The 27,545-nt window shown below is 40.9% G+C and overlaps 1 annotated feature.

Annotated features, from left to right (window-relative positions):
• Positions 1 to 27,545: part of a centromere (Linear centromere model derived predominantly from reads generated in PMID: 17803354. This region does not represent an actual centromere sequence, as long-range ordering of repeats and unmapped WGS contigs is not provided by the model. For details of model production, see http://arxiv.org/abs/1307.0035.) that runs on past both edges of the window.

The following is a 27,545-nucleotide window of genomic DNA, read 5'->3' on the forward strand; positions in this document are numbered from 1 at the left end:
GGAGATTTGGAGCGCTTTGAGGCCTATGGTAGTAAAGGAAATAGCTTCATAGAAAAACTAGACAGATGCATTCTCAGGAACTTTTTGGTGATGTTTGTATTCAACTCCCAGCAGTTGAACTTTCCTTTGGAAAGAGCAGCTATGAAACACTCTTTTTCTAGAATCTGGAAGTGGACGTTTGGAGGGCTTTGTGGTTTGTGGTGGAAAAGGAAATATCTTCACCTAAATACTAGATAGAAGCATTCTCAGAAGCTTCTCTGTGATGACTGCATTCAACTCACGGAGTTGAACACTCCTTTTGAGAGCGCAGTTTTGAAACTCTCTTTCTGTGGCATCTGCAAGGGGACATGTAGACCTCTTTGAAGATTTCGTTGGAAACGGAATCATCTTCACATAAAAACTATACAGAAGCAGTCTCAGAATCTTCTTTGTGATGTTTGCATTCAAATCCCAGAGTTGAACTTTCCTTTCAAAGTTCACGTTTGAAACACTCTTTTTGCAGGATCTACAAGTGGATATTTGGACCACTCTGTGTCCTTCGTTCGAAACGGGTACATCTTCACATGACATCTAGACAGAAGCTTTCTCAGAAAATTCTTTGGGTTGATTGAGTGGAACTCACAGAGCTGAACATTCCTTGCGATGTAGCAGTTTAGAAACACACTTTCTGCAGAATCTGCAAGTGCATATTTGGACCTCTCTGAGGAATTCGTTGGAAACGGGATAATTTCAGCTGACTAAACAGAAGCATTCTCAGAACCTTCTTCGTGATGTCTGCATTCAACTCACAGTGTGGAACCTTTCTTTGATAGTTCAGGTTTGAAACACTCTTTTTGTAGAAACTGCAAGGGGATAATTGCACTTCTTTGAGGCCTACCGTAGTAAAGGAAATAACTTCCTATAGAAAGAAGACAGAAGCATTCTCAGAACCCTCTTCGTGATGTTTGCATTCAACTCACAGTGCTGAACCTTTCTTTGATAGTTCAGCTTTGAAACACTCTTCTTGTAGAAACTGCAAGTGGATATTTGGTCCTCTCTGAGGATTTCGTTGGAAACGGGATAAACCGCACAGAACTAAACAGAAGCATTCTCAGAACCTTCTTCGTGATGTTTGCATTCAACTCACAGTGTTGAACCTTTCTTTGATAGTTCAGGTTTCAAACGGTCTTTCTGTAGAAACTGCAAGTAGATATTTGGACCTCTCTGAGGATTTCGTTGGAAACGGGATAACTGCACCTAACTAAACGGAAGCATTCACAGAAAACTCTTGGTGACGACTGAGTTTAACTCACAGAGCTGAACATTCCTTTGGATGGAGCAGTTTCGAGACACACTATTTGTAGAATGTGCAAGTGGATATTTGGGCCTCTCTGAGGATTTCGTTGGAAACGGGATAAACCGCACAGAACTAAACAGAAGCATTCTCAGAAACTGCTTTGTGGTGATTGCATTCAAGTCACAGAGTTGAACATTCCCTTTGACAGAGCAGTTTGGAAACTCTCTTTGTGTAGAATCTGCAAGTGGAGATATGGACCGCTTTGAGGCCTATGGTAGTAAAGGAAATAGCTTCATATAAAAGCTAGACAGTAGCATTCTCAGAAACTTCTTTGTGATGCTTGCATTCAACTCACAGAGTTGAACTTTCCTTTCGAGAGAGAAGCTTTGAAACACTCTTTTTCCAGAATCTGCAAGTGGACATTTGGAGGGCTTTGAGGCCTGTGGTGGAAAAGGAATTATCTTCCCGTAAAAGCTAGATAGAAGCATTGTCAGAAACTTCTTTGTGATGATTGCATTCAACTCACAGAGATGAAGGTTCCTTTACAAACAGCAGTTTCCAAACACTCTTTCTGTGGAATCTGCAAGTGGATATTTGGACCTCTTTGAAGATTTCGTTGGAAACGGGAGAATCTTCACAGAAAAGCTAAACAGAAGCATTCTCAGAAACTTCTCTGTGATGTTTGTGTTCAACTCCCAGAGTTTCACATTGCTTTTCATAGAGTAGTTCTGAAACATGCTTTTCGTAGTGTCTGCAAGTGGACATTTGGAGCGCTTTCAGGCCTGTGGTGGAAAACGAATTATGGTCACATAAAAACTGGAGAGAAGCCTTCTCAGAAACTTCTCTGTGATGATTGCATTCAACTCACAGAGTTGAACCCTCCTATGGATAGAGCAGTGTTGAAACTCTCTTTTTGTGGAATCTGCAAGTGGATATGTGGACCTCTCCGAAGATGTCTTTGGAAACGGGAATATCTTCACATAAAAACTAAACAGAAGCATTCTCAGAAACTTCTTGGTGATGTTTGCATTCAAATCCCAGAGTTGAACCTTCCTTTGATAGTTCAGGTTTGAAACACTCTTTCTGTAGGATCTGCAAGTGGCTATTTGGACCACTCTGTGGCCTTCGTTCGAAACGGGTATATCTTCGCATAAAATCTAGACAGAAGCATTCTCAGAAAATACTTTGTGATGATTGAGTTTAAATCACAGAGCTGACCATTCCTTTGGATGGAGCAGGTTTGAGACACACTTTTTGTAGAATCTACAAGTGGATATTTGGACCTCTCTGAGGATTTCGTTGGAAACGGGATAACTGCACCTAACTAAACGGAAGCATTCTCAGAAACTGCTTTGTGATGATTGCATTCACCTCACAGAGTTGAACATTCCTATTGATAGAGCAGTTTGGAAACACTCTTGTTGTGGAATGTGCAAGTGGAGATTTGGAGCGCTTTGAGGCCTATGGTAGTAAAGGGAATAGCTTCATAGAAAAACTAGACAGATGCATTCTCAGGAACCTTTTGGTGATGTTTGTATTCAACTCCCAGAGTTGAACTTTCCTTTGGAAAGAGCAGCTATGAAACACTCTTTTTCTAGAATCTGCAAGTGGACGTTTGGAGGGCTTTGTGGTTTGTGGTGGAAAAGGAAATATCTTCACCTAAATACTAGATAGAAGCATTCTCAGAAGCTTCTCTGTGATGACTGCATTCAACTCACGGAGTTGAACACTCCTTTTGAGAGCGCAGTTTTGAAACTCTCTTTCTGTGGCATCTGCAAGGGGACATGTAGACCTCTTTGAAGATTTCGTTGGAAACGGAATTCATCTTCACATAAAAACTATACAGAAGCAGTCTCAGAATCTTCTTTGTGATGTTTGCATTCAAATCCCAGAGTTGAACTTTCCTTTCAAAGTTCACGTTTGAAACACTCTTTTTGCAGGATCTACAAGTGGATATTTGGACCACTCTGTGTCCTTCGTTCGAAACGGGTATATCTTCACATGACATCTAGACAGAAGCTTTCTCAGAAAATTCTTTGGGATGATTGAGTGGAACTCACAGAGCTGAACATTCCTTGCGATGTAGCAGTTTAGAAACACACTTTCTGCAGAATCTGCAAGTGCATATTTGGACCTCTCTGAGGAATTCGTTGGAAACGGGATAATTTCAGCTGACTAAACAGAAGCATTCTCAGAACCTTCTTCGTGATGTCTGCATTCAACTCACAGTGTGGAACCTTTCTTTGATAGTTCAGGTTTGAAACACTCTTTTTGTAGAAACTGCAAGGGGATAATTGCACTTCTTTGAGGCCTACCGTAGTAAAGGAAATAACTTCCTATAAAAAGAAGACAGAAGAATTCTCAGAGCCCTCTTCGTGATGTTTGCATTCAACTCACAGTGCTGAACCTTTCTTTGATAGTGCAGCTTTGAAACACTCTTTTTGTAGAAACTGCAAGTGGATGTTTGGTCCTCTCTGAGGATTTCGTTGGAAACGGGATAAACCGCACAGAACTAAAACAGAAGCATTCTCTGAACCTTCTTCGTGATGTTTGCATTCAACTCACAGTGTTGAACCTTTCTTTGATAGTTCAGGTTGGAAACGGTCTTTCTGTAGAAACTGCAAGTAGATATTTGGACCTCTCTGAGGATTTCGTTGGAAACGGGATAAACCGCACAGAACTAAAACAGAAGCATTCACAGAAAACTCTTGGTGACGACTGAGTTTAACTCACAGAGCTGAACATTCCTTTGGATGGAGCAGTTTCGAAACACACTATTTGTAGAATGTGCAAGTGGATATTTAGGCCTCTCTGAGGATTTCGTTGGAAACGGGATAAACCGCACAGAACTAAACAGAAGCATTCTCAGAAACTACTTTGTGATGATTGCATTCAAGTCACAGAGTTGAACATTCCCTTTGACAGAGCAGTTTGGAAACTCTCTTTGTGTAGAATCTGCAAGTGGAGATATGGACCGCTTTGAGGCCTATGGTAGTAAAGGAAATAGCTTCATATAAAACCTAGACAGTAGCATTCTCAGAAACTTCTTTGTGATGCTTGCATTCAACTCACAGAGTTGAACTTTCCTTTCGAGAGAGAAGCTTTGAAACACTCTTTTTCCAGAATGTGCAAGTGGACATTTGGGGAGCTTTGAGGCCTGTGGTGGAAAAGGAATTATCTTCCCGTAAAAGCTAGATAGAAGCATTGTCAGAAACTTCTTTGTGATGATTGCATTCAACTCACAGAGTTGAAGGTTCCTTTTCAAACAGCAGTTTCCAATCACTCTTTCTGTGGAATCTGCAAGTGGATATTTGGGCCTCTCTGAGGATTTCGTTGGAAACGGGATAAAACGCACAGAACTAAAACAGAAGCATTCTCAGAAACTTCTCTGTGATGTTTGTGTTCAACTCCCAGAGTTTCACGTTGCTTTTCATAGAGTAGTTCTGAAACATGCTTTTCGTAGTGTCTGCAAGTGGACATTTGGAGCGCTTTCAGGCCTGTGGTGGAAAACGAATTATGGTCACATAAAAACTGGAGAGAAGCCTTCTCAGAAACTTCTCTGTGATGATTGCATTCAACTCACAGATTTGAACCCTCCTATGGATAGAGCATTGTTGAAACTCTCTTTTTGTGGAATCTGCAAGTGGATATGTGGACCTCTCCGAAGATGTCTTTGGAAACGGGAATATCTTCACATAAAAACTAAACAGAAGCATTCTCAGAAACTTCTTGGTGATGTTTGCATTCAAATCCCAGAGTTGAACCTTCCTTTGATAGTTCAGGTTTGAAACACTCTTTTTGTAGGATCTGCAAGTGGCTATTTGGACCACTCTGTGGCCTTCGTTCGAAACGGGTATATCTTCGCATAAAATCTAGACAGAAGCATTCTCAGAAAATACTTTGTGATGATTGAGTTTAAATCACAGAGCTGACCATTCCTTTGGATGGAGCAGGTTTGAGACACACTTTTTGTAGAATCTACAAGTGGATATTTGGACCTCTCTGAGGATTTCGTTGGAAACGGGATAACTGCACCTAACTAAACGGAAGCATTCTCAGAAACTGCTTTGTGATGATTGCATTCACCTCACAGAGTTGAACATTCCTATTGATAGAGCAGTTTGGAAACACTCTTGTTGTGGAATGTGCAAGTGGAGATTTGGAGCGCTTTGAGGCCTATGGTAGTAAAGGGAATAGCTTCATAGAAAAACTAGACAGATGCATTCTCAGGAACTTTTTGGTGATGTTTGTATTCAACTCCCAGAGTTGAACTTTCCTTTGGAAAGAGCAGCTATGAAACACTCTTTTTCTAGAATCTGCAAGTGGACGTTTGGAGGGCTTTGTGGTTTGTGGTGGAAAAGGAAATATCTTCACCTAAATACTAGATAGAAGCATCCTCAGAAGCTTCTCTGTGATGACTGCATTCAACTCACGGAGTTGAACACTCCTTTTGAGAGCGCAGTTTTGAAACTCTCTTTCTGTGGCATCTGCAAGGGGACATGTAGACCTCTTTGAAGATTTCGTTGGAAACGGAATCATCTTCACATAAAAACTACACAGAAGCAGTCTCAGAATCTTCTTTGTGATGTTTGCATTCAAATCCCAGAGTTGAACTTTCCTTTCAAAGTTCACGTTTGAAACACTCTTTTTGCAGGATCTACAAGTGGATATTTGGACCACTCTGTGTCCTTCGTTCGAAACGGGTATATCTTCACACGACATCTAGACAGAAGCTTTCTCAGAAAACTCTTTGGGATGATTGAGTTGAACTCACAGAGCTGAACATTCCTTGCGATGTAGCAGTTTAGAAACACACTTTCTGCAGAATCTGCAAGTGCATATTTGGACCTCTCTGAGGAATTCGTTGGAAACGGGATAATTTCAGCTGACTAAACAGAAGCATTCTCAGAACCTTCTTCGTGATGTCTGCATTCAACTCACAGTGTGGAACCTTTCTTTGATAGTTCAGGTTTGAAACACTCTTTTTGTAGAAACTGCAAGGGGATAATTGCACTCTTTGAGGAGTACCGTAGTAAAGGAAATAACTTCCTATAAAAAGAAGACAGAAGAATTCTCAGAGCCCTCTTCGTGATGTTTGCATTCAACTCACAGTGCTGAACCTTTCTTTGATAGTGCAGCTTTGAAACACTCTTTTTGTAGAAACTGCAAGTGGATGTTTGGTCCTCTCTGAGGATTTCGTTGGAAACGGGATAAACCGCACAGAACTAAAACAGAAGCATTCTCAGAACCTTCTTCGTGATGTTTGCATTCAACTCACAGTGTTGAACCTTTCTTTGATAGTTCAGGTTTGAAACGGTCTTTCTGTAGAAACTGCAAGTAGATATTTGGACCTCTCTGAGGATTTCGTTGGAAACGGGATAACCCGCACAGAACTAAAACAGAAGCATTCACAGAAAACTCTTGGTGACGACTGAGTTTAACTCACAGAGCTGAACATTCCTTTGGATGGAGCAGTTTCGAAACACACTATTTCTAGAAGGTGCAAGTGGATATGTGGGCCTCTCTGAGGATTTCGTTGGAAACGGGATAAACCGCACAGAACTAAACAGAAGCATTCTGAGAAACTACTTTGTGATGATTGCATTCAAGTCACAGAGCTGAACATTCCCTTTGACAGAGCAGTTTGGAAACTCTCTTTGTGTAGAATCTGCAAGTGGAGATATGGAATGCTTTGAGGACTATGGTAGTAAAGGAAATAGCTTCATATAAAAGCTATACAGTAGCATTCTCAGAAACTTCTTTGTGATGCTTGCATTCAACTCACAGAGTTGAACTTTCCTTTCGAGAGAGAAGCTTTGAAACACTCTTTTTCCAGAATCTGCAAGTGGACATTTGGAGGGCTTTGAGGCCTGTGGTGGAAAAGGAATTATCTTCCCGTAAAAGCTAGATAGAAGCATTGTCAGAAACTTCTTTGTGATGATTGCATTCAAGTCACAGAGTTGAAGGTTCCTTTTCAAAGAGCAGTTTCCAATCACTCTTTCTGTGGAATCTGCAAGTGGATATTTGGACCTCTTTGAAGATTTCGTTGGAAACGGGAGAATCTTCACAGAAAAGCTAAACAGAAGCATTCTCAGAAACTTCTCTGTGATGTTTGTGTTCAACTCCCAGAGTTTCACATTGCTTCTCATAGAGTAGTTCTGAAACATGCTTTTCGTAGTGTCTGCAAGTGGACATTTGGAGCGCTTTCAGGCCTGTGGTGGAAAACGAATTATGGTCACATAAAAACTGGAGAGAAGCCTTCTCAGAAACTTCTCTGTGATGATTGCATTGAACTCACAGAGTTGAACCCTCCTATGGATAGAGCAGTGTTGAAACTCTCTTTTTGTGGAATCTGCAAGTGGATATGTGGACCTCTCCGAAGATGTCTTTGGAAACGGGAATATCTTCACATAAAAACTAAACAGAAGCATTCTCAGAAACTTCTTGGTGATGTTTGCATTCAAATCCCAGAGTTGAACCTTCCTTTGATAGTTCAGGTTTGAAACACTCTTTTTGTAGGATCTGCAAGTGGCTATTTGGACCACTCTGTGGCCTTCGTTCGAAACGGGTATATCTTCGCATAAAATCTAGACAGAAGCATTCTCAGAAAATACTTTGTGATGATTGAGTTTAACTCACAGAGCTGAACATTCCTTTGGATGGAGCAGGTTTGAGACACACTTTTTGTAGAATCTACAAGTGGATATTTGGACCTCTCTGAGGATTTCGTTGGAAACGCGATAACTGCACCTAACTAAACGGAAGCATTCTCAGAAACTGCTTTGTGATGATTGCATTCACCTCACAGAGTTGAACATTCCTATTGATAGAGCAGTTTGGAAACACTCTTGTTGTGGAATGTGCAAGTGGAGATTTGGAGCGCTTTGAGGCCTATGGTAGTAAAGGGAATAGCTTCATAGAAAAACTAGACAGATGCATTCTCAGGAACTTTTTGGTGATGTTTGTATTCAACTCCCAGAGTTGAACTTTCCTTTGGAAAGAGCAGCTATGAAACACTCTTTTTCTAGAATCTGCAAGTGGACGTTTGGAGGGCTTTGTGGTTTGTGGTGGAAAAGGAAATATCTTCACCTAAATACTAGATAGAAGCATTCTCAGAAGCTTCTCTGTGATGACTGCATTCAACTCACGGAGTTGAACACTCCTTTTGAGAGCGCAGTTTTGAAACTCTCTTTCTGTGGCATCTGCAAGGGGACATGTAGACCTCTTTGAAGATTTCGTTGGAAACGGAATCATCTTCACATAAAAACTATACAGAAACAGTCTCAGAATCTTCTTTGTGATGTTTGCATTCAAATCCCAGAGTTGAACTTTCCTTTCAAAGTTCACGTTTGAAACACTCTTTTTGCAGGATCTACAAGTGGATATTTGGACCACTCTGTGTCCTTCGTTCGAAACGGGTATATCTTCACACGACATCTAGACAGAAGCTTTCTCAGAAAATTCTTAGGGATGATTGAGTGGAACTCACAGAGCTGAACATTCCTTGCGATGTAGCAGTTTAGAAACACACTTTCTGCAGAATCTGCAAGTGCATATTTGGACCTCTCTGAGGAATTCGTTGGAAACGGGATAATTTCAGCTGACTAAACAGAAGCATTCTCAGAACCTTCTTCGTGCTGTCTGCATTCAACTCACAGTGTGGAACCTTTCTTTGATAGTTCAGGTTTGAAACACTCTTTTTGTAGAAACTGCAAGGGGATAATTGCACTTCTTTGAGGCCTACCGTAGTAAAGGAAATAACTTCCTATAGAAAGAAGACAGAAGCATTCTCAGAGCCCTCTTCGTGATGTTTGCATTCAACTCACAGTGCTGAACCTTTCTTTGATAGTGCAGCTTTGAAACACTCTTTTTGTAGAAACTGCAAGTGGATGTTTGGTCCTCTCTGAGGATTTCGTTGGAAACGGGATAAACCGCACAGAACTAAAACAGAAGCATTCTCAGAACCTTCTTCGTGATGTTTGCATTCAACTCACAGTGTTGAACCTTTCTTTGATAGTTCAGGTTTGAAACGGTCTTTCTGTAGAAACTGCAAGTAGATATTTGGACCTCTCTGAGGATTTCGTTGGAAACGGGATAACCCACACAGAACTAAAACAGAAGCATTCACAGAAAACTCTTGGTGACGACTGAGTTTAACTCACAGAGCTGAACATTCCTTTGGATGGAGCAGTTTCGAAACACACTATTTGTAGAATGTGCAAGTGGATATTTGGGCCTCTCTGAGGATTTCGTTGGAAACGGGATAAACCGCACAGAACTAAACAGAAGCATTCTCAGAAACTACTTTGTGATGATTGCATTCAAGTCACAGAGTTGAACATTCCCTTTGACAGAGCAGTTTGGAAACTCTCTTTGTGTAGAATCTGCAAGTGGAGATATGGACCGCTTTGAGGCCTATGGTAGTAAAGGAAATAGCTTCATATAAAAGCTAGACAGTAGCATTCTCAGAAACGTCTTTGTGATGCTTGCATTCAACTCACAGAGTTGAACTTTCCTTTCGAGAGAGAAGATTTGAAACACTCTTTTTCCAGAATGTGCAAGTGGACATTTGGGGAGCTTTGAGGCCTGTGGTGGAAAAGGAATTATCTTCCCGTAAAAGCTAGATAGAAGCATTGTCAGAAACTTCTTTGTGATGATTGCATTCAACTCACAGAGTTGAAGGTTCCTTTTCAAACAGCAGTTTCCAATCACTCTTTCTGTGGAATCTGCAAGTGGATATTTGGGCCTCTCTGAGGATTTCGTTGGAAACGGGATAAAACGCACAGAACTAAAACAGAGCATTCTCAGAAACTTCTCTGTGATGTTTGTGTTCAACTCCCAGAGTTTCACGTTGCTTTTCATAGAGTAGTTCTGAAACATGCTTTTCGTAGTGTCTGCAAGTGGACATTTGGAGCGCTTTCAGGCCTGTGGTGGAAAACGAATTATGGTCACATAAAAACTGGAGAGAAGCCTTCTCAGAAACTTATCTGTGATGATTGCATTCAACTCACAGAGTTGAACCCTCCTATGGATAGAGCAGTGTTGAAACTCTCTTTTTGTGGAATCTGCAAGTGGATATGTGGACCTCTCCGAAGATGTCTTTGGAAACGGGAATATCTTCACATAAAAACTAAACAGAAGCATTCTCAGAAACTTCTTGGTGATGTTTGCATTCAAATCCCAGAGTTGAACCTTCCTTTGATAGTTCAGGTTTGAAACACTCTTTCTGTAGGATCTGCAAGTGGCTATTTGGACCACTCTGTGGCCTTCGTTCGAAACGGGTATATCTTCGCATAAAATCTAGACAGAAGCATTCTCAGAAAATACTTTGTGATGATTGAGTTTAAATCACAGAGCTGAACATTCCTTTGGATGGAGCAGGTTTGAGACACACTTTTTGTAGAATCTACAAGTGGATATTTGGACCTCTCTGAGGATTTCGTTGGAAACGGGATAACTGCACCTAACTAAACGGAAGCATTCTCAGAAACTGCTTTGTGATGATTGCATTCACCTCACAGAGTTGAACATTCCTATTGATAGAGCAGTTTGGAAACACTCTTGTTGTGGAATGTGCAAGTGGAGATTTGGAGCGCTTTGAGGCCTATGGTAGTAAAGGGAATAGCTTCATAGAAAAACTAGACAGATGCATTCTCAGAAACTTTTTGGTGATGTTTGTATTCAACTCCCAGAGTTGAACTTTCCTTTGGAAAGAGCAGCTATGAAACACTCTTTTTCTAGAATCTGCAAGTGGACGTTTGGAGGGCTTTGTGGTTTGTGGTGGAAAAGGAAATATCTTCACCTAAATACTAGATAGAAGCATTCTCAGAAGCTTCTCTGTGATGACTGCATTCAACTCACGGAGTTGAACACTCCTTTTGAGAGCGCAGTTTTGAAACTCTCTTTCTGTGGCATCTGCAAGGGGACATGTAGACCTCTTTGAAGAGTTCATTGGAAACGGAATCATCTTCACATAAAATCTATACAGAAGCAGTCTCAGAATCTTCTTTGTGATGTTTGCATTCAAATCCCAGAGTTGAACTTGCCTTTCAAAGTTCACGTTTGAAACACTCTTTTTGCAGGATCTACAAGTGGATATTTGGACCACTCTGTGTCCTTCGTTCGAAACGGGTATATCTTCACATGACATCTAGACAGAAGCTTTCTCAGAAAATTCTTTGGGATGATTGAGTTGAACTCACAGAGCTGAACATTCCTTGCGATGGAGCAGTTTAGAAACACACTTTCTGCAGAATCTGCAAGTGCATATTTGGACCTCTCTGAGGAATTCGTTGGAAACGGGATAATTTCAGCTGACTAAACAGAAGCATTCTCAGAACCTTCTTCGTGATGTCTGCATTCAACTCACAGTGTGGAACCTTTCTTTGATAGTTCAGGTTTGAAACACTCTTTTTGTGGAAACTGCAAGGGGATAATTGCACTTCTTTGAGGCCTACCGTAGTAATGGAAATAACTTCCTATAAAAAGAAGACAGAAGAACTCTCAGAGCCCTCTTCGTGATGTTTGCATTCAACTCACAGTGCTGAACCTTTCTTTGATAGTGCAGCTTTGAAACACTCTTTTTGTAGAAACTGCAAGTGGATATTTGGTCCTCTCTGAGGATTTCGTTGGAAACGGGATAAACCGCACAGAACTAAAACAGAAGCATTCACAGAAAACTCTTGGTGACGACTGAGTTTAACTCACAGAGCTGAACATTCCTTTGGATGGAGCAGTTTCGAAACACACTATTTGTAGAATCTGCAAGTGGATATTTGGGCCTCTCTGAGGATTTCGTTGGAAACGGGATAAAACGCACAGAACTAAAACAGAAGCATTCTCAGAAACTACTTTGTTATGATTGCAATCAAGTCACAGAGTTGAACATTCCCTTTGACAGAGCAGTTTGGAAACTCTCTTTGTGTAGAATCTGCAAGTGGAGATATGGACCGCTTTGAGGCCTATGGTAGTAAAGGAAATAGCTTCATATAAAAGCTAGACATTAGCATTCTCAGAAACTTCTTTGTGATGCTTGCATTCAACTCACAGAGTTGAACTTTCCTTTCGAGAGAGAAGCTTTGAAACACTCTTTTTCCAGAATGTGCAAGTGGACATTTGGGGAGCTTTGAGGCCTGTGGAGGGAAAGGAATTATCTTCCCGTAAAAGCTAGATAGAAGCATTGTCAGAAACTTCTTTGTGATGATTGCATTCAACTCACAGAGTTGAAGGTTCCTTTTCAAACAGCAGTTTCCAATCACTCTTTCTGTGGAATCTGCAAGTGGATATTTGGGCCTCTCTGAGGATTTCGTTGGAAACGGGATAAAACGCACAGAACTAAAACAGAAGCATTCTCAGAAACTTCTCTGTGATGTTTGTGTTCAACTCCCAGAGTTTCACGTTGCTTTTCATAGAGTAGTTCTGAAACATGCTTTTCGTAGTGTCTGCAAGTGGACATTTGGAGCGCTTTCAGGCCTGTGGTGGAAAACGAATTATGGTCACATAAAAACTGGAGAGAAGCCTTCTCAGAAACTTCTCTGTGATGATTGCATTCAACTCACAGAGTTGAACCCTCCTATGGATAGAGCAGTGTTGAAACTCTCTTTTTGTGGAATCTGCAAGTGGATATGTGGACCTCTCCGAAGATGTCTTTGGAAACGGGAATATCTTCACATAAAAACTAAACAGAAGCATTCTCAGAAACTTCTTGGTGATGTTTGCATTCAAATCCCAGAGTCGAACCTTCCTTTGATAGTTCAGGTTTGAAACACTCTTTTTGTAGGATCTGCAAGTGGATATTTGGACCACTCTGTGGCCTTCGTTCGAAACGGGTATATCTTCGCATAAAATCTAGACAGAAGCATTCTCAGAAAATACTTTGTGATGATTGAGTTTAACTCACAGAGCTGAACATTCCTTTGGATGGAGCAGGTTTGAGACACACTTTTTGTAGAATCTACAAGTGGATATTTGGACCTCTCTGAGGATTTCGTTGGAAACGGGATAACTGCACCTAACTAAACGGAAGCATTCTCAGAAACTGCTTTGTGATGATTGCATTCACCTCACAGAGTTGAACATTCCTATTGATAGAGCAGTTTGGAAACACTCTTGTTGTGGAATGTGCAAGTGGAGATTTGGAGCGCTTTGAGGCCTATGGTAGTAAAGGGAATAGCTTCATAGAAAAACTAGACAGATGCATTCTCAGGAACTTTTTGGTGATGTTTGTATTCAACTCCCAGAGTTGAACTTTCCTTTGGAAAGAGCAGCTATGAAACACTCTTTTTCTAGAATCTGCAAGTGGACGTTTGGAGGGCTTTGTGGTTTGTGGTGGAAAAGGAAATATCTTCACCTAAATACTAGATAGAAGCATTCTCAGAAGCTTCTCTGTGATGACTGCATTCAACTCACGGAGTTGAACACTCCTTTTGAGAGCGTAGTTTTGAAACTCTCTTTCTGTGGCATCTGCAAGGGGACATGTAGACCTCTTTGAAGATTTCGTTGGAAACGGAATCATCTTCACATAAAAACTATACAGAAGCAGTCTCAGAATCTTCTTTGTGATGTTTGCATTCAAATCCCAGAGTTGAACTTTCCTTTCAAAGTTCACGTTTGAAACACTCTTTTTGCAGGATCTACAAGTGGATATTTGGACCACTCTGTGTCCTCCGTTCGAAACGGGTATATCTTCACATGACATCTAGACAGAAGCTTTCTCAGAAAATTCTTTGGGATGATTGAGTGGAACTCACAGAGCTGAACATTCCTTGAGATGTAGCAGTTTAGAAACACACTTTCTGCAGAATCTGCAAGTGCATATGTGGACCTCTCTGAGGAATTCGTTGGAAACGGGATAATTTCAGCTGACTAAACAGAAGCATTCTCAGAACCTTCTTCGTGATGTCTGCATTCAACTCACAGTGTGGAACCTTTCTTTGATAGTTCAGGTTTGAAACACTCTTTTTGTAGAAACTGCAAGGGGATAATTGCACTCTTTGAGGAGTACCGTAGTAAAGGAAATAACTTCCTATAAAAAGAAGACAGAAGCATTCTCAGAACCCTCTTCGTGGTGTTTGCATTCAACTCACAGTGCTGAACCTCTCTTTGATAGTTCAGCTTTGAAACACTCTTCTTGTAGAAACTGCAAGTGGATATTTGGTCCTCTCTGAGGATTTCCTTGGAAAAGGGATAAACCGCACAGAACTAAACAGAAGCATTCTCAGAACCTTCTTCGTGATGTTTGCATTCAACTCACAGTGCTGAACCTTTCTTTGATAGTTCAGGTTTGAAACGGTCTTTCTGTAGAAACTGCAAGTAGATATTTGGACCTCTCTGAGGATTTCGTTGGAAACGGGATAAACCGCACAGAACTAAAACAGAAGCATTCACAGAAAACTCTTGGTGACGACTGAGTTTAACTCACAGAGCTGAACATTCCTTTGGATGGAGCAGTTTCGAAACACACTATTTGTAGAATGTGCAAGTGGATATTTGGACCTCTCTGAGGATTTCGTTGGAAACGGGATAAACCGCACAGAACTAAACAGAAGCATTCTCAGAAACTACTTTGTGATGATTGCATTCAAGTCACAGAGTTGAACATTCCCTTTGACAGAGCAGTTTGGAAACTCTCTTTGTGTAGAATCTGCAAGTGGAGATATGGACCGCTTTGAGGCCTATGGTAGTAAAGGAAATAGCTTCATATAAAAGCTAGACAGTAGCATTCTCAGAAACTTCTTTGTGATGCTTGCATTCAACTCACAGAGTTGAACTTTCCTTTCGAGAGAGAAGCTTTGAAACACTCTTTTTCCAGAATCTGCAAGTGGACATTTGGAGGGCTTTGAGGCCTGTGGTGGAAAAGGAATTATCTTCCCGTAAAAGCTAGATAGAAGCATTGTCAGAAACTTCTTTGTGATGATTGCATTCAACTCACAGAGTTGAAGGTTGCTTTTCCAACAGCAGTTTCCAAACACTCTTTCTGTGGAATCTGCAAGTGGATATTTGGACCTCTTTGAAGATTTCGTTGGAAAAGGGATAATCTTCACAGAAAAGGTAAACAGAAGCATTCTCAGAAACTTCTCTGTGATGTTTGTGTTCAACTCCCAGAGTGTCACATTGCTTCTCATAGAGTAGTTCTGAAACATGCTTTTCGTAGTGTCTGCAAGGGGACATTTGGAGCGCTTTCAGGCCTGTGGTGGAAAACGAATTATGGTCACATAAAAACTGGAGAGAAGCCTTCTCAGAAACTTCTCTGTGATGATTGCATTCAACTCACAGAGTTGAACTCACCTATGGATAGAGCAGTGTTGAAACTCTCTTTGTGTGGAATCTGCAAGTGGATATGTGGACCTCTCCGAAGATGTCTTTGGAAACGGGACTATCTTCACATAAAAACTAAACAGAAGCATTCTCAGAAACTTCTTGGTGATGTTTGCATTCAAATCCCAGAGTTGAACCTTCCTTTGATAGTTCAGGTTTGAAACACTCTTTTTGTAGGATCTGCAAGTGGATATTTGGACCACTCTGTGGCCTTCGTTCGAAACGGGTACATCTTCGCATAAAATCTAGACAGAAGCATTCTCAGAAAATACTTTGTGATGATTGAGTTTAACTCACAGATCTGAACATTCCTTTGGATGGAGCAGGTTTGAGACACACTTTTTGTAAAATCTACAAGTGGATATTTGGACCTCTCTGAGGATTTCGTTGGAAACGGGATAACTGCACCTAACTAAACGGAAGCATTCTCAGAAACTGCTTTGTGATGATTGCATTCACCTCACAGAGTTGAACATTCCTATTGATAGAGCAGTTTGGAAACACTCCTGTTGTGGAATGTGCAAGTGGAGATTTGGAGCGCTTTGAGGCCTATGGTAGTAAAGGGAATAACTTCATAGAAAAACTAGACAGATGCATTCTCAGGAACTTTTTGGTGATGTTTGTATTCAACTCCCAGAGTTGAACTTTCCTTTGGAAAGAGCAGCTATGAAACACTCTTTTTCTAGAATCTGCAAGTGGACGTTTGGAGGGCTTTGTGGTTTGTGGTGGAAAAGGAAATATCTTCACCTAAATACTAGATAGAAGCATTCTCAGAAGCTTCTCTGTGATTACTGCATTCAACTCATGGAGTTGAACACTCCTTTTGAGAGCGCAGTTTTGAAACTCTGTTTCTGTGGCATCTGCAAGGGGACATGTAGACCTCTTTGAAGATTTCGTTGGAAACGGAATCATCTTCACATAAAAACTATACAGAAGCAGTCTCAGAATCTTCTTTGTGATGTTTGCATTCAAATCCCAGAGTTGAACTTTCCTTTCAAAGTTCACGTTTGAAACACTCTTTTTGCAGGATCTACAAGTGGATATTTGGACCACTCTGTGTCCTTCGTTCGAAACGGGTATATCTTCACATGACATCTAGACAGAAGCTTTCTCAGAAAATTCTTTGGGATGATTGAGTTGAGCAAACAGAGCTGAACACTCCTTGCGATGTAGCAGTTTAGAAACACACTTTCTGCAGAATCTGCAAGTGCATATGTGGACCTCTCTGAGGTATTCGTTGGAAACGGGATAATTTCAGCTGACTAAACAGAAGCATTCTCAGAACCTTCTTCGTGATGTCTGCATTCAACTCACAGTGTGGAACCTTTCTTTGATAGTTCAGGTTTGAAACACTCTTTTTGTAGAAACTGCAAGGGGATCATTGCACTCTTTGAGGAGTACCGTAGTAAAGGAAATAACTTCCTATAAAAAGAAGACAGAAGAATTCTCAGAGCCCTCTTCGTGATGTTTGCATTCAACTCACAGTGCTGAACCTTTCTTTGATAGTGCAGCTTTGAAACACTCTTTTTGTAGAAACTGCAAGTGGATGTTTGGTCCTCTCTGAGGATTTCGTTGGAAACGGGATAAACCGCACAGAACTAAAACAGAAGCATTCTCAGAACCTTCTTCGTGATGTTTGCATTCAACTCACAGTGTTGAACCTTTCTTTGATAGTTCAGGTTGGAAACGGTCTTTCTGTAGAAACTGCAAGTAGATATTTGGACCTCTCTGAGGATTTCGTTGGAAACGGGATAAACCGCACAGAACTAAAACAGAAGCATTCACAGAAAACTCTTGGTGACGACTGAGTTTAACTCACAGAGCTGAACATTCCTTTGGATGGAGCAGTTTCGAAACACACTCTTTGTAGAATCTGCAAGTGGATATTTGGGCCTCTCTGAGGATTTCGTTGGAAATGGGATAAACCGCACAGAACTAAAACAGAAAGCATTCTCAGAAACTACTTTGTGATGATTGCATTCAAGTCACAGAGTTGAACATTCCCTTTGACAGAGCAGTTTGGAAACTCTCTTTGTGTAGGATCTGCAAGTGGAGATATGGACCGCTTTGAGGCCTATGGTAGTAAAGGAAATAGCTTCATATAAAAGCTAGACAGTAGCATTCTCAGAAACTTCTTTGTGATGCTTGCATTCAACTCACTGAGTTGAACTTTCCTTTCGAGAGAGAAGCTTTGAAACACTCTTTTTCCTGAATCTGCAAGTGGACATTTGGAGGGCTTTGAGGCCTGTGGTGGAAAAGGAATTATCTTCCCGTAAAAGCTAGATAGAAGCATTGTCAGAAACTTCTTTGTGATGATTGCATTCAACTCACAGAGTTGAAGGTTGCTTTTCAAACAGCAGTTTCCAAACACTCTTTCTGTGGAATCTGCAAGTGGATATTTGGACCTCTTTGAAGATTTCGTTGGAAACGGGATAATCTTCACAGAAAAGCTAAACAGAAGCATTCTCAGAAACTTCTCCGTGATGTTTGTGTTCAACTCCCAGAGTGTCACATTGCTTTTCATAGAGTAGTTCTGAAACGAGCTTTTCGCAGTGTCTGCAAGTGGACATTTGGAGCGCTTTCAGGCCTGTGGTGGAAAACGAATTATGGTCACATAAAAACTGGAGAGAAGCCTTCTCAGAAACTTCTCTGTGATGATTGCATTCAACTCACAGAGTTGAACCCTACTATGGATAGAGCAGTGTTGAAACTCTCTTTTTGTGGAATCTGCAAGTGGATATGTGGACCTCTCCGAAGATGTCTTTGGAAAGGGGACTATCTTCACATAAAAACTAAACAGAAGCATTCTCAGAAACTTCTTGGTGATGTTTGCATTCAAATCCCAGAGTTGAACCTTCCTTTGATAGTTCAGGTTTGAAACACTCTTTTTGTAGGATCTGCAAGTGGATATTTGGACCACTCTGTGGCCTTCGTTCGAAACGGGTACATCTTCGCATAAAATCTAGACAGAAGCATTCTCAGAAAATACTTTGTGATGATTGAGTTTAACTCACAGAGCTGAACATTCCTTTGGATGGAGCAGGCTTGAGACACACTTTTTGTAGAATCTACAAGTGGATATTTGGACCTCTCTGAGGATTTCGTTGGAAACGAGATAACTGCACCTAACTAAACGGAAGCATTCTCAGAAACTGCTTTGTGATGATTGCATTCACCTCACAGAGTTGAACATTCCTATTGATAGAGCAGTTTGGAAACACTCTTGTTGTGGAATGTGCAAGTGGAGATTTGGAGCGCTTTGAGGCCTATGGTAGTAAAGGGAATAGCTTCAGAGAAAAACTAGACAGATGCATTCTCAGGAACTTTTTGGTGATGTTTGTATTCAACTCCCAGAGTTGAACTTTCCTTTGGAAAGAGCAGCTATGAAACACTCTTTTTCTAGAATCTGCAAGTGGACGTTTGGAGGGGTTTGTGGTTTGTGGTGGAAAAGGAAATATCTTCACCTAAATACTAGATAGAAGCATTCTCAGAAGCTTCTCTGTGATGACTGCATTCAACTCACGGAGTTGAACACTCCTTTTGAGAGCGCAGTTTTGAAACTCTCTTTCTGTGGCATCCGCAAGGGGACATGTGGACCTCTTTGAAGATTTCGTTGGAAACGGAATCATCTTCACATAAAAACTATACAGAAGCAGTCTCAGAATCTTCTTTGTGATGTTTGCATTCAAATCCCAGAGTTGAACTTGCCTTTCAAAGTTCACGTTTGAAACACTCTTTTTGCAGGATCTACAAGTGGATATTTGGACCACTCTGTGTCCTTCGTTCGAAACGGGTATATCTTCACATGACATCTAGACAGAAGCTTTCTCAGAAAATTCTTTGGGATGATTGAGTTGAACTCACAGAGCTGAGCATTTCCTTGCGATGTAGCAGTTTAGAAACACACTTTCTGCAGAATCTGCAAGTGCATATTTGGACCTCTGTGAGGAATTCGTTGGAAACGGGATAATTTCAGCTGACTAAACAGAAGCATTCTCAGAACCTTCTTCGTGATGTCTGCATTCAACTCACAGTGTGGAACCTTTCTTTGATAGTTCAGGTTTGAAACACTCTTTCTGTAGAAACTGCAAGGGGATAATTGCACTCTTTGAGGAGTACCGTAGTAAAGGAAATAACTTCCTATAAAAAGAAGACAGAAGAATTCTCAGAGCCCTCTTCGTGATGTTTGCATTCAACTCACAGTGCTGAACCTTTCTTTGATAGTGCAGCTTTGAAACACTCTTTTTGTAGAAACTGCAAGTGGATGTTTGGTCCTCTCTGAGGATTTCGTTGGAAACGGGATAAACCGCACAGAACTAAAACAGAAGCATTCTCAGAACCTTCTTCGTGATGTTTGCATTCAACTCACAGTGTTGAACCTTTCTTTGATAGTTCAGGTTTCAAACGGTCTTTCTGTAGAAACTGCAACTAGATATTTGGACCTCTCTGAGGATTTCGTTGGAAACGGGATAACCCGCACAGAACTAAAACAGAAGCATTCACAGAAAACTCTTGGTGACGACTGAGTTTAACTCACAGAGCTGAATATTCCCTTGGATGGAGCAGTTTCGAAACACACTCTTTGTAGAATCTGCAGGTGGATATTTGGGCCTCTCTGAGGATTTCGTTGGAAACGGGATATACTGCAGAGAACTAAAACAGAAGCATTCTCAGAAACTACTTTGTGATGATTGCATTCAAGTCACAGAGCTGAACATTCCCTTTGACGGAGCAGTTTGGAAACTCTCTTTGTGTAGAATCTGCAAGTGGAGATATGGAATGCTTTGAGGACTATGGTAGTAAAGGGAATAGCTTCATATAAACGCTAGACAGTAGCATTCTCAGAAACTTCTTTGTGATGCTTGCATTCAACTCACAGAGTTGAACATTCCTTTCGAGAGAGAAGCTTTGAAACACTCTTTTTCCAGAATCTGCAAGTGGACATTTGGAGGGCTTTGAGGCCTGTGGTGGAAAAGGAATTATCTTCCCGTAAAAGCTAGATAGAAGCATTGTCAGAAACTTCTTTGTGATGATTGCATTCAACTCACAGAGTTGAAGGTTCCTTTTCAAACAGCAGTTTCCAATCACTCTTTCTGTGGAATCTGCAAGTGGATATTTCGACCTCTTTGAAGATTTCGTTGGAAACGGGAGAATCTTCACAGAAAAGCTCAACAGAAGCATTCTCAGAAACTTCTCTGTGATGTTTGTGTTCAACTCCCAGAGTTTCACATTGCTTTTCATAGAGTAGTTCTGAAACATGCTTTTCGTAGTGTCTACAAGTGGACATTTGGAGCGCTTTCAGGCCTGTGGTGGAAAACGAATTATGGTCACATAAAAACTGGAGAGAAGCCTTCTCAGAAACTTCTCTGTGATGATTGCATTCAACTCACAGAGTTGAACCCTCCTATGGATAGAGCAGTGTTGAAACTCTCTTTTTGTGGAACCTGCAAGTGGATATGTGGACCTCTCCGAAGATGTCTTTGGAAACGGGAATATCTTCACATAAAAACTAAACAGAAGGATTCTCAGAAACTTCTTGGTGATGTTTGCATTCAAATCCCAGAGTTGAACCTTCCTTTGATAGTTCAGGTTTGAAACACTCTTTTTGTAGGATCTGCAAGTGGCTATTTGGACCACTCTGTGGCATTCGTTCAAAACGGGTATATCTTCGCATAAAATCTAGACAGAAGCATTCTCAGAAAATACTTTGTGATGATTGAGTTGAACTCACAGAGCTGAACATTCCTTTGGATGGAGCAGGTTTGAGACACACTTTTTGTAGAATCTACAAGTGGATATTTGGACCTCTCTGAGGATTTCGTTGGAAACGGGATAACTGCACCTAACTAAACGGAAGCATTCTCAGAAACTGCTTTGTGATGATTGCATTCACCTCACAGAGTTGAACATTCCTATTGATAGAGCAGTTTGGAAACACTCTTGTTGCGGAATGTGCAAGTGGAGATTTGGAGCGCTTTGAGGCCTGTGGTAGTAAAGGGAATAGCTTCATAGAAAAACTAGACAGATGCATTCTCAGGAACTTTTTGGTGATGTTTGTATTCAACTCCCAGAGTTGAACTTTCCTTTGGAAAGAGCAGCTATGAAACACTCTTTTTCTAGAATCTGCAAGTGGACGTTTGGAGGGCTTTGTGGTTTGTGGTGGAAAAGGAAATATCTTCACCTAAATACTAGATAGAAGCATTCTCAGAAGCTTCTCTGTGATGACTGCATTCAACTCACGGAGTTGAACACTCCTTTTGAGAGCGCAGTTTTGAAACTCTCTTTCTGTGGCATCTGCAAGGGGACATGTAGACCTCTTTGAAGATTTCGTTGGAAACGGAATCATCTTCACATAAAAACTATACAGAAGCAGTCTCAGAATCTTCTTTGTGATGTTTGCATTCAAATCCCAGAGTTGAACTTTCCTTTCAAAGTTCACGTTTGAAACACTCTTTTTGCAGGATCTACAAGTGGATATTTGGACCACTCTGTGTCCTTCGTTCGAAACGGGTATATCTTCACACGACATCTAGACAGAAGCTTTCTCAGAAAATTCTTTGGGATGATTGAGTTGAACTCACAGAGCTGAGCATTCCTTGCGATGTAGCAGTTTAGAAACACACTTTCTGCAGAATCTGCAAGTGCATATTTGGACCTCTGTGAGGAATTCGTTGGAAACGGGATAATTTCAGCTGACTAAACAGAAGCATTCTCAGAACCTTCTTCGTGATGTCTGCATTCAACTCACAGTGTGGAACCTTTCTTTGATAGTTCAGGTTTGAAACACTCTTTTTGTAGAAACTGCAAGGGGATAATTGCACTTCTTTGAGGCCTACCGTAGCAAAAGAAATAACTTCCTATAAAAAGAAGACAGAAGCATTCTCAGAACCCTCTTCGTGATGTTTGCATTCAACTCACAGTGCTGAACCTTTCTTTGATAGTTCAGCTTTGAAACACTCTTCTTGTAGAAACTGCAAGTGGATATTTGGTCCTCTCTGAGGATTTCGTTGGAAACGGGATAAACCGCACAGAACTAAACAGAAGCATTCTCAGAACCTTCTTCGTGATGTTTGCATTCAACTCACAGTGTTGAACCTTTCTTTGATAGTTCAGGTTTGAAACGGTCTTTCTGTAGAAACTGCAAGTAGATATTTGGACCTCTCTGAGGATTTCGTTGGAAACGGGATAACCCGCACAGAACTAAAACAGAAGCATTCACAGAAAACTCTTGGTGACGACTGAGTTTAACTCACAGAGCTGAACATTCCTTTGGATGGAGCAGTTTCGAAACACACTATTTGTAGAATGTGCAAGTGGATATTTGGGCCTCTCTGAGGATTTCGTTGGAAACGGGATAAACCGCACAGAACTAAACAGAAGCATTCTCAGAAACTACTTTGTGATGATTGCATTCAAGTCACAGAGTTGAACATTCCCTTTGACAGAGCAGTTTGGAAACTCTCTTTGTGTAGAATCTGCAAGTGGAGATATGGACCGCTTTGAGGCCTATGGTAGTAAAGGAAATAGCTTCATATAAAAGCTAGACAGTAGCATTCTCAGAAACTTCTTTGTGATGCTTGCATTCAACTCACAGAGTTGAACTTTCCTTTCGAGAGAGAAGCTTTGAAACACTCTTTTTCCAGAATCTGCAAGTGGACATTTGGAGGGCTTTGAGGCCTGTGGTGGAAAAGGAATTATCTTCCCGTAAAAGCTAGATAGAAGCATTGTCAGAAACTTCTTTGTGATGATTGCATTCAACTCACAGAGTTGAAGGTTCCTTTTCAAACAGCAGTTTCCAATCACTCTTTCTGTGGAATCTGCAAGTGGATATTTGGGCCTCTCTGAGGATTTCGTTGGAAACGGGATAAAACGCACAGAACTAAAACAGAAGCATTCTCAGAAACTTCTCTGTGATGTTTGTGTTCAACTCCCAGAGTTTCACGTTGCTTTTCATAGAGTAGTTCTGAAACATGCTTTTCGTAGTGTCTGCAAGTGGACATTTGGAGCGCTTTCAGGCCTGTGGTGGAAAACGAATTATGGTCACATAAAAACTGGAGAGAAGCCTTCTCAGAAACTTCTCTGTGATGATTGCATTCAACTCACAGAGTTGAACCCTCCTATGGATAGAGCAGTGTTGAAACTCTCTTTTTGTGGAATCTGCAAGTGGATATGTGGACCTCTCCGAAGATGTCTTTGGAAACGGGAATATCTTCACATAAAAACTAAACAGAAGCATTCTCAGAAACTTCTTGGTGATGTTTGCATTCAAATCCCAGAGTTGAACCTTCCTTTGATAGTTCAGGTTTGAAACACTCTTTCTGTAGGATCTGCAAGTGGCTATTTGGACCACTCTGTGGCCTTCGTTCGAAACGGGTATATCTTCGCATAAAATCTAGACAGAAGCATTCTCAGAAAATACTTTGTGATGATTGAGTTTAAATCACAGAGCTGACCATTCCTTTGGATGGAGCAGGTTTGAGACACACTTTTTGTAGAATCTACAAGTGGATATTTGGACCTCTCTGAGGATTTCGTTGGAAACGGGATAACTGCACCTAACTAAACGGAAGCATTCTCAGAAACTGCTTTGTGATGATTGCATTCACCTCACAGAGTTGAACATTCCTATTGATAGAGCAGTTTGGAAACACTCTTGTTGTGGAATGTGCAAGTGGAGATTTGGAGCGCTTTGAGGCCTATGGTAGTAAAGGGAATAGCTTCATAGAAAAACTAGACAGATGCATTCTCAGGAACTTTTTGGTGATGTTTGTATTCAACTCCCAGAGTTGAACTTTCCTTTGGAAAGAGCAGCTATGAAACACTCTTTTTCTAGAATCTGCAAGTGGACGTTTGGAGGGCTTTGTGGTTTGTGGTGGAAAAGGAAATATCTTCACCTAAATACTAGATAGAAGCATCCTCAGAAGCTTCTCTGTGATGACTGCATTCAACTCACGGAGTTGAACACTCCTTTTGAGAGCGCAGTTTTGAAACTCTCTTTCTGTGGCATCTGCAAGGGGACATGTAGACCTCTTTGAAGATTTCGTTGGAAACGGAATCATCTTCACATAAAAACTATACAGAAGCAGTCTCAGAATCTTCTTTGTGATGTTTGCATTCAAATCCCAGAGTTGAACTTTCCTTTCAAAGTTCACGTTTGAAACACTCTTTTTGCAGGATCTACAAGTGGATATTTGGACCACTCTGTGTCCTTCGTTCGAAACGGGTATATCTTCACATGACATCTAGACAGAAGCTTTCTCAGAAAATTCTTTGGCATGATTGAGTTGAACTCACAGAGCTGAACATTCCTTGCGATGGAGCAGTTTAGAAACACACTTTCTGCAGAATCTGCAAGTGCATATTTGGACCTCTCTGAGGAATTCATTGGAAACGCGATAATTTCAGCTGACTAAACAGAAGCATTCTCAGAACCTTCTTCGTGATGTCTGCATTCAACTCACAGTGTGGAACCTTTCTTTGATAGTTCAGGTTTGAAACACTCTTTTTGTAGAAACTGCAAGGGGATAATTGCACTTCTTTGAGGCCTACCGTAGTAAAGGAAATAACTTCCTATAGAAAGAAGACAGAAGCATTCCCAGAACCCTCTTCGTGATGTTTGCATTCAACTCACGGTGCTGAACCTTTCTTTGATAGTTCAGCTTTGAAACACTCTTTTTGTAGAAACTGCAAGTGGATATTTGGTCCTCTCTGAGGATTTCGTTGGAAAAGGGATAAACCGCACAGAACTAAACAGAAGCTTTCTCAGAACCTTCTTCGTGATGTTTGCATTCAACTCACAGTGTTGAACCTTTCTTTGATAGTTCAGGTTTGAAACGGTCTTTCTGTAGAAACTGCAAGTAGATATTTGGACCTCTCTGAGGATTTCGTTGGAAACGGGATAAACCGCACAGAACTAAAACAGAAGCATTCACAGAAAACACTTGGTGACGACTGAGTTTAACTCACAGAGCTGAACATTCCTTTGGAGGGAGCAGTTTTGAAACACACTATTTGTAGAATCTGCAAGTGGATATTTGGGCCTCTCTGAGGATTTCGATGGAAACGGGATAAACCGCACAGATATAAAACAGAAGCATTCTCAGAAACTACTTTGTGATGATTGCATTCAAGTCACAGAGCAGAACATTCCCTTTGACAGAGCAGTTTGGAAACTCTCTTTGTGTAGCATCTGCAAGTGGAGATATGGAATGCTTTGAGGACTATGGTAGTAAAGGAAATAGCTTCATATAAAAGCTAGACAGTAGCATTCTCAGCAAACTTCTTTGTGATGCTTGCATTCAACTCACAGAGTTGAACTTTCCTTTCGAGAGAGAAGCTTTGAAACACTCTTTTTCCAGAATCTGCAAGTGGACATTTGGAGGGCTTTGAGGCCTGTGGTGGAAAAGGAATTATCTTCCCGTAAAAGCTAGATAGAAGCATTGTCAGAAACTTCTTTGTGATGATTGCATTCAACTCACAGAGTTGAAGGTTCCTTTTCAAACAGCAGTTTCCAATCACTCTTTCTGTGGAATCTGCAAGTGGATATTTCGACCTCTTTGAAGATTTCGTTGGAAACGGGAGAATCTTCACAGAAAAGCTAAACAGAAGCATTCTCAGAAACTTCTCTGTGATGTTTGTGTTCAACTCCCAGAGTTTCACATTGCTTTTCATAGAGTAGTTCTGAAACATGCTTTTCGTAGTGTCTGCAAGTGGACATTTGGAGCGCTTTCAGGCCTGTGGTGGAAAACGAATTATGGTCACATAAAAACTGGAGAGAAGCCTTCTCAGAAACTTCTCTGTGATGATTGCATTCAACTCACAGAGTTGAACCCTCCTATGGATAGAGCAGTGTTGAAACTCTCTTTTTGTGGAATCTGCAAGTGGATATGTGGACCTCTCCGAAGATTTCTTTGGAAACGGGACTATCTTCACATAAAAACTAAACAGAAGCATTCTCAGAAACTTCTTGGTGATGTTTGCATTCAAATCCCAGAGTTGAACCTTCCTTTGATAGTTCAGGTTTGAAACACTCTTTTTGTAGGATCTGCAAGTGGCTATTTGGACCACTCTGTGGCCTTCGTTCGAAACGGATATATCTTCGCATAAAATCTAGACAGAAGCATTCTCAGAAAATACTTTGTGATGATTGAGTTGAACTCACAGAGCTGAACATTCCTTTGGATGGAGCAGGTTTGAGACACACTTTTTGTAGAATCTACAAGTGGATATTTGGGCCTCTCTGAGGATTTCGTTGGAAACGGGATAACTGCACCTAACTAAACGGAAGCATTCTCAGAAACTGCTTTGTGATGATTGCATTCACCTCACAGAGTTGAACATTCCTATTGATAGAGCAGTTTGGAAACACTCTTCTTGTGGAATGTGCAAGTGGAGATTTGGAGCGCTTTGAGGCCTATGGTAGTAAAGGGAATAGCTTCATAGAAAAACTAGACAGATGCATTCTCAGGAACTTTTTGGTGATGTTTGTATTCAACTCCCAGAGTTGAACTTTCCTTTGGAAAGAGCAGCTATGAAACACTCTTTTTCTAGAATCTGCAAGTGGACGTTTGGAGGGCTTTGTGGTTTGTGGTGGAAAAGGAAATATCTTCACCTAAATACTAGATAGAAGCATCCTCAGAAGCTTCTCTGTGATGACTGCATTCAACTCACGGAGTTGAACACTCCTTTTGAGAGCGCAGTTTTGAAACTCTCTTTCTGTGGCATCTGCAAGGGGACATGTAGACCTCTTTGAAGATTTCGTTGGAAACGGAATCATCTTCACATAAAAACTATACAGAAGCAGTCTCAGAATCTTCTTTGTGATGTTTGCATTCAAATCCCAGAGTTGAACTTTCCTTTCAAAGTTCACGTTTGAAACACTCTTTTTGCAGGATCTACAAGTGGATATTTGGACCACTCTGTGTCCTTCGTTCGAAACGGGTATATCTTCACA

Source organism: Homo sapiens, chromosome 17 (genome assembly GCF_000001405.40).
Source record: "Homo sapiens chromosome 17, GRCh38.p14 Primary Assembly".
Classification (NCBI taxonomy): domain Eukaryota; kingdom Metazoa; phylum Chordata; class Mammalia; order Primates; family Hominidae; genus Homo; species Homo sapiens.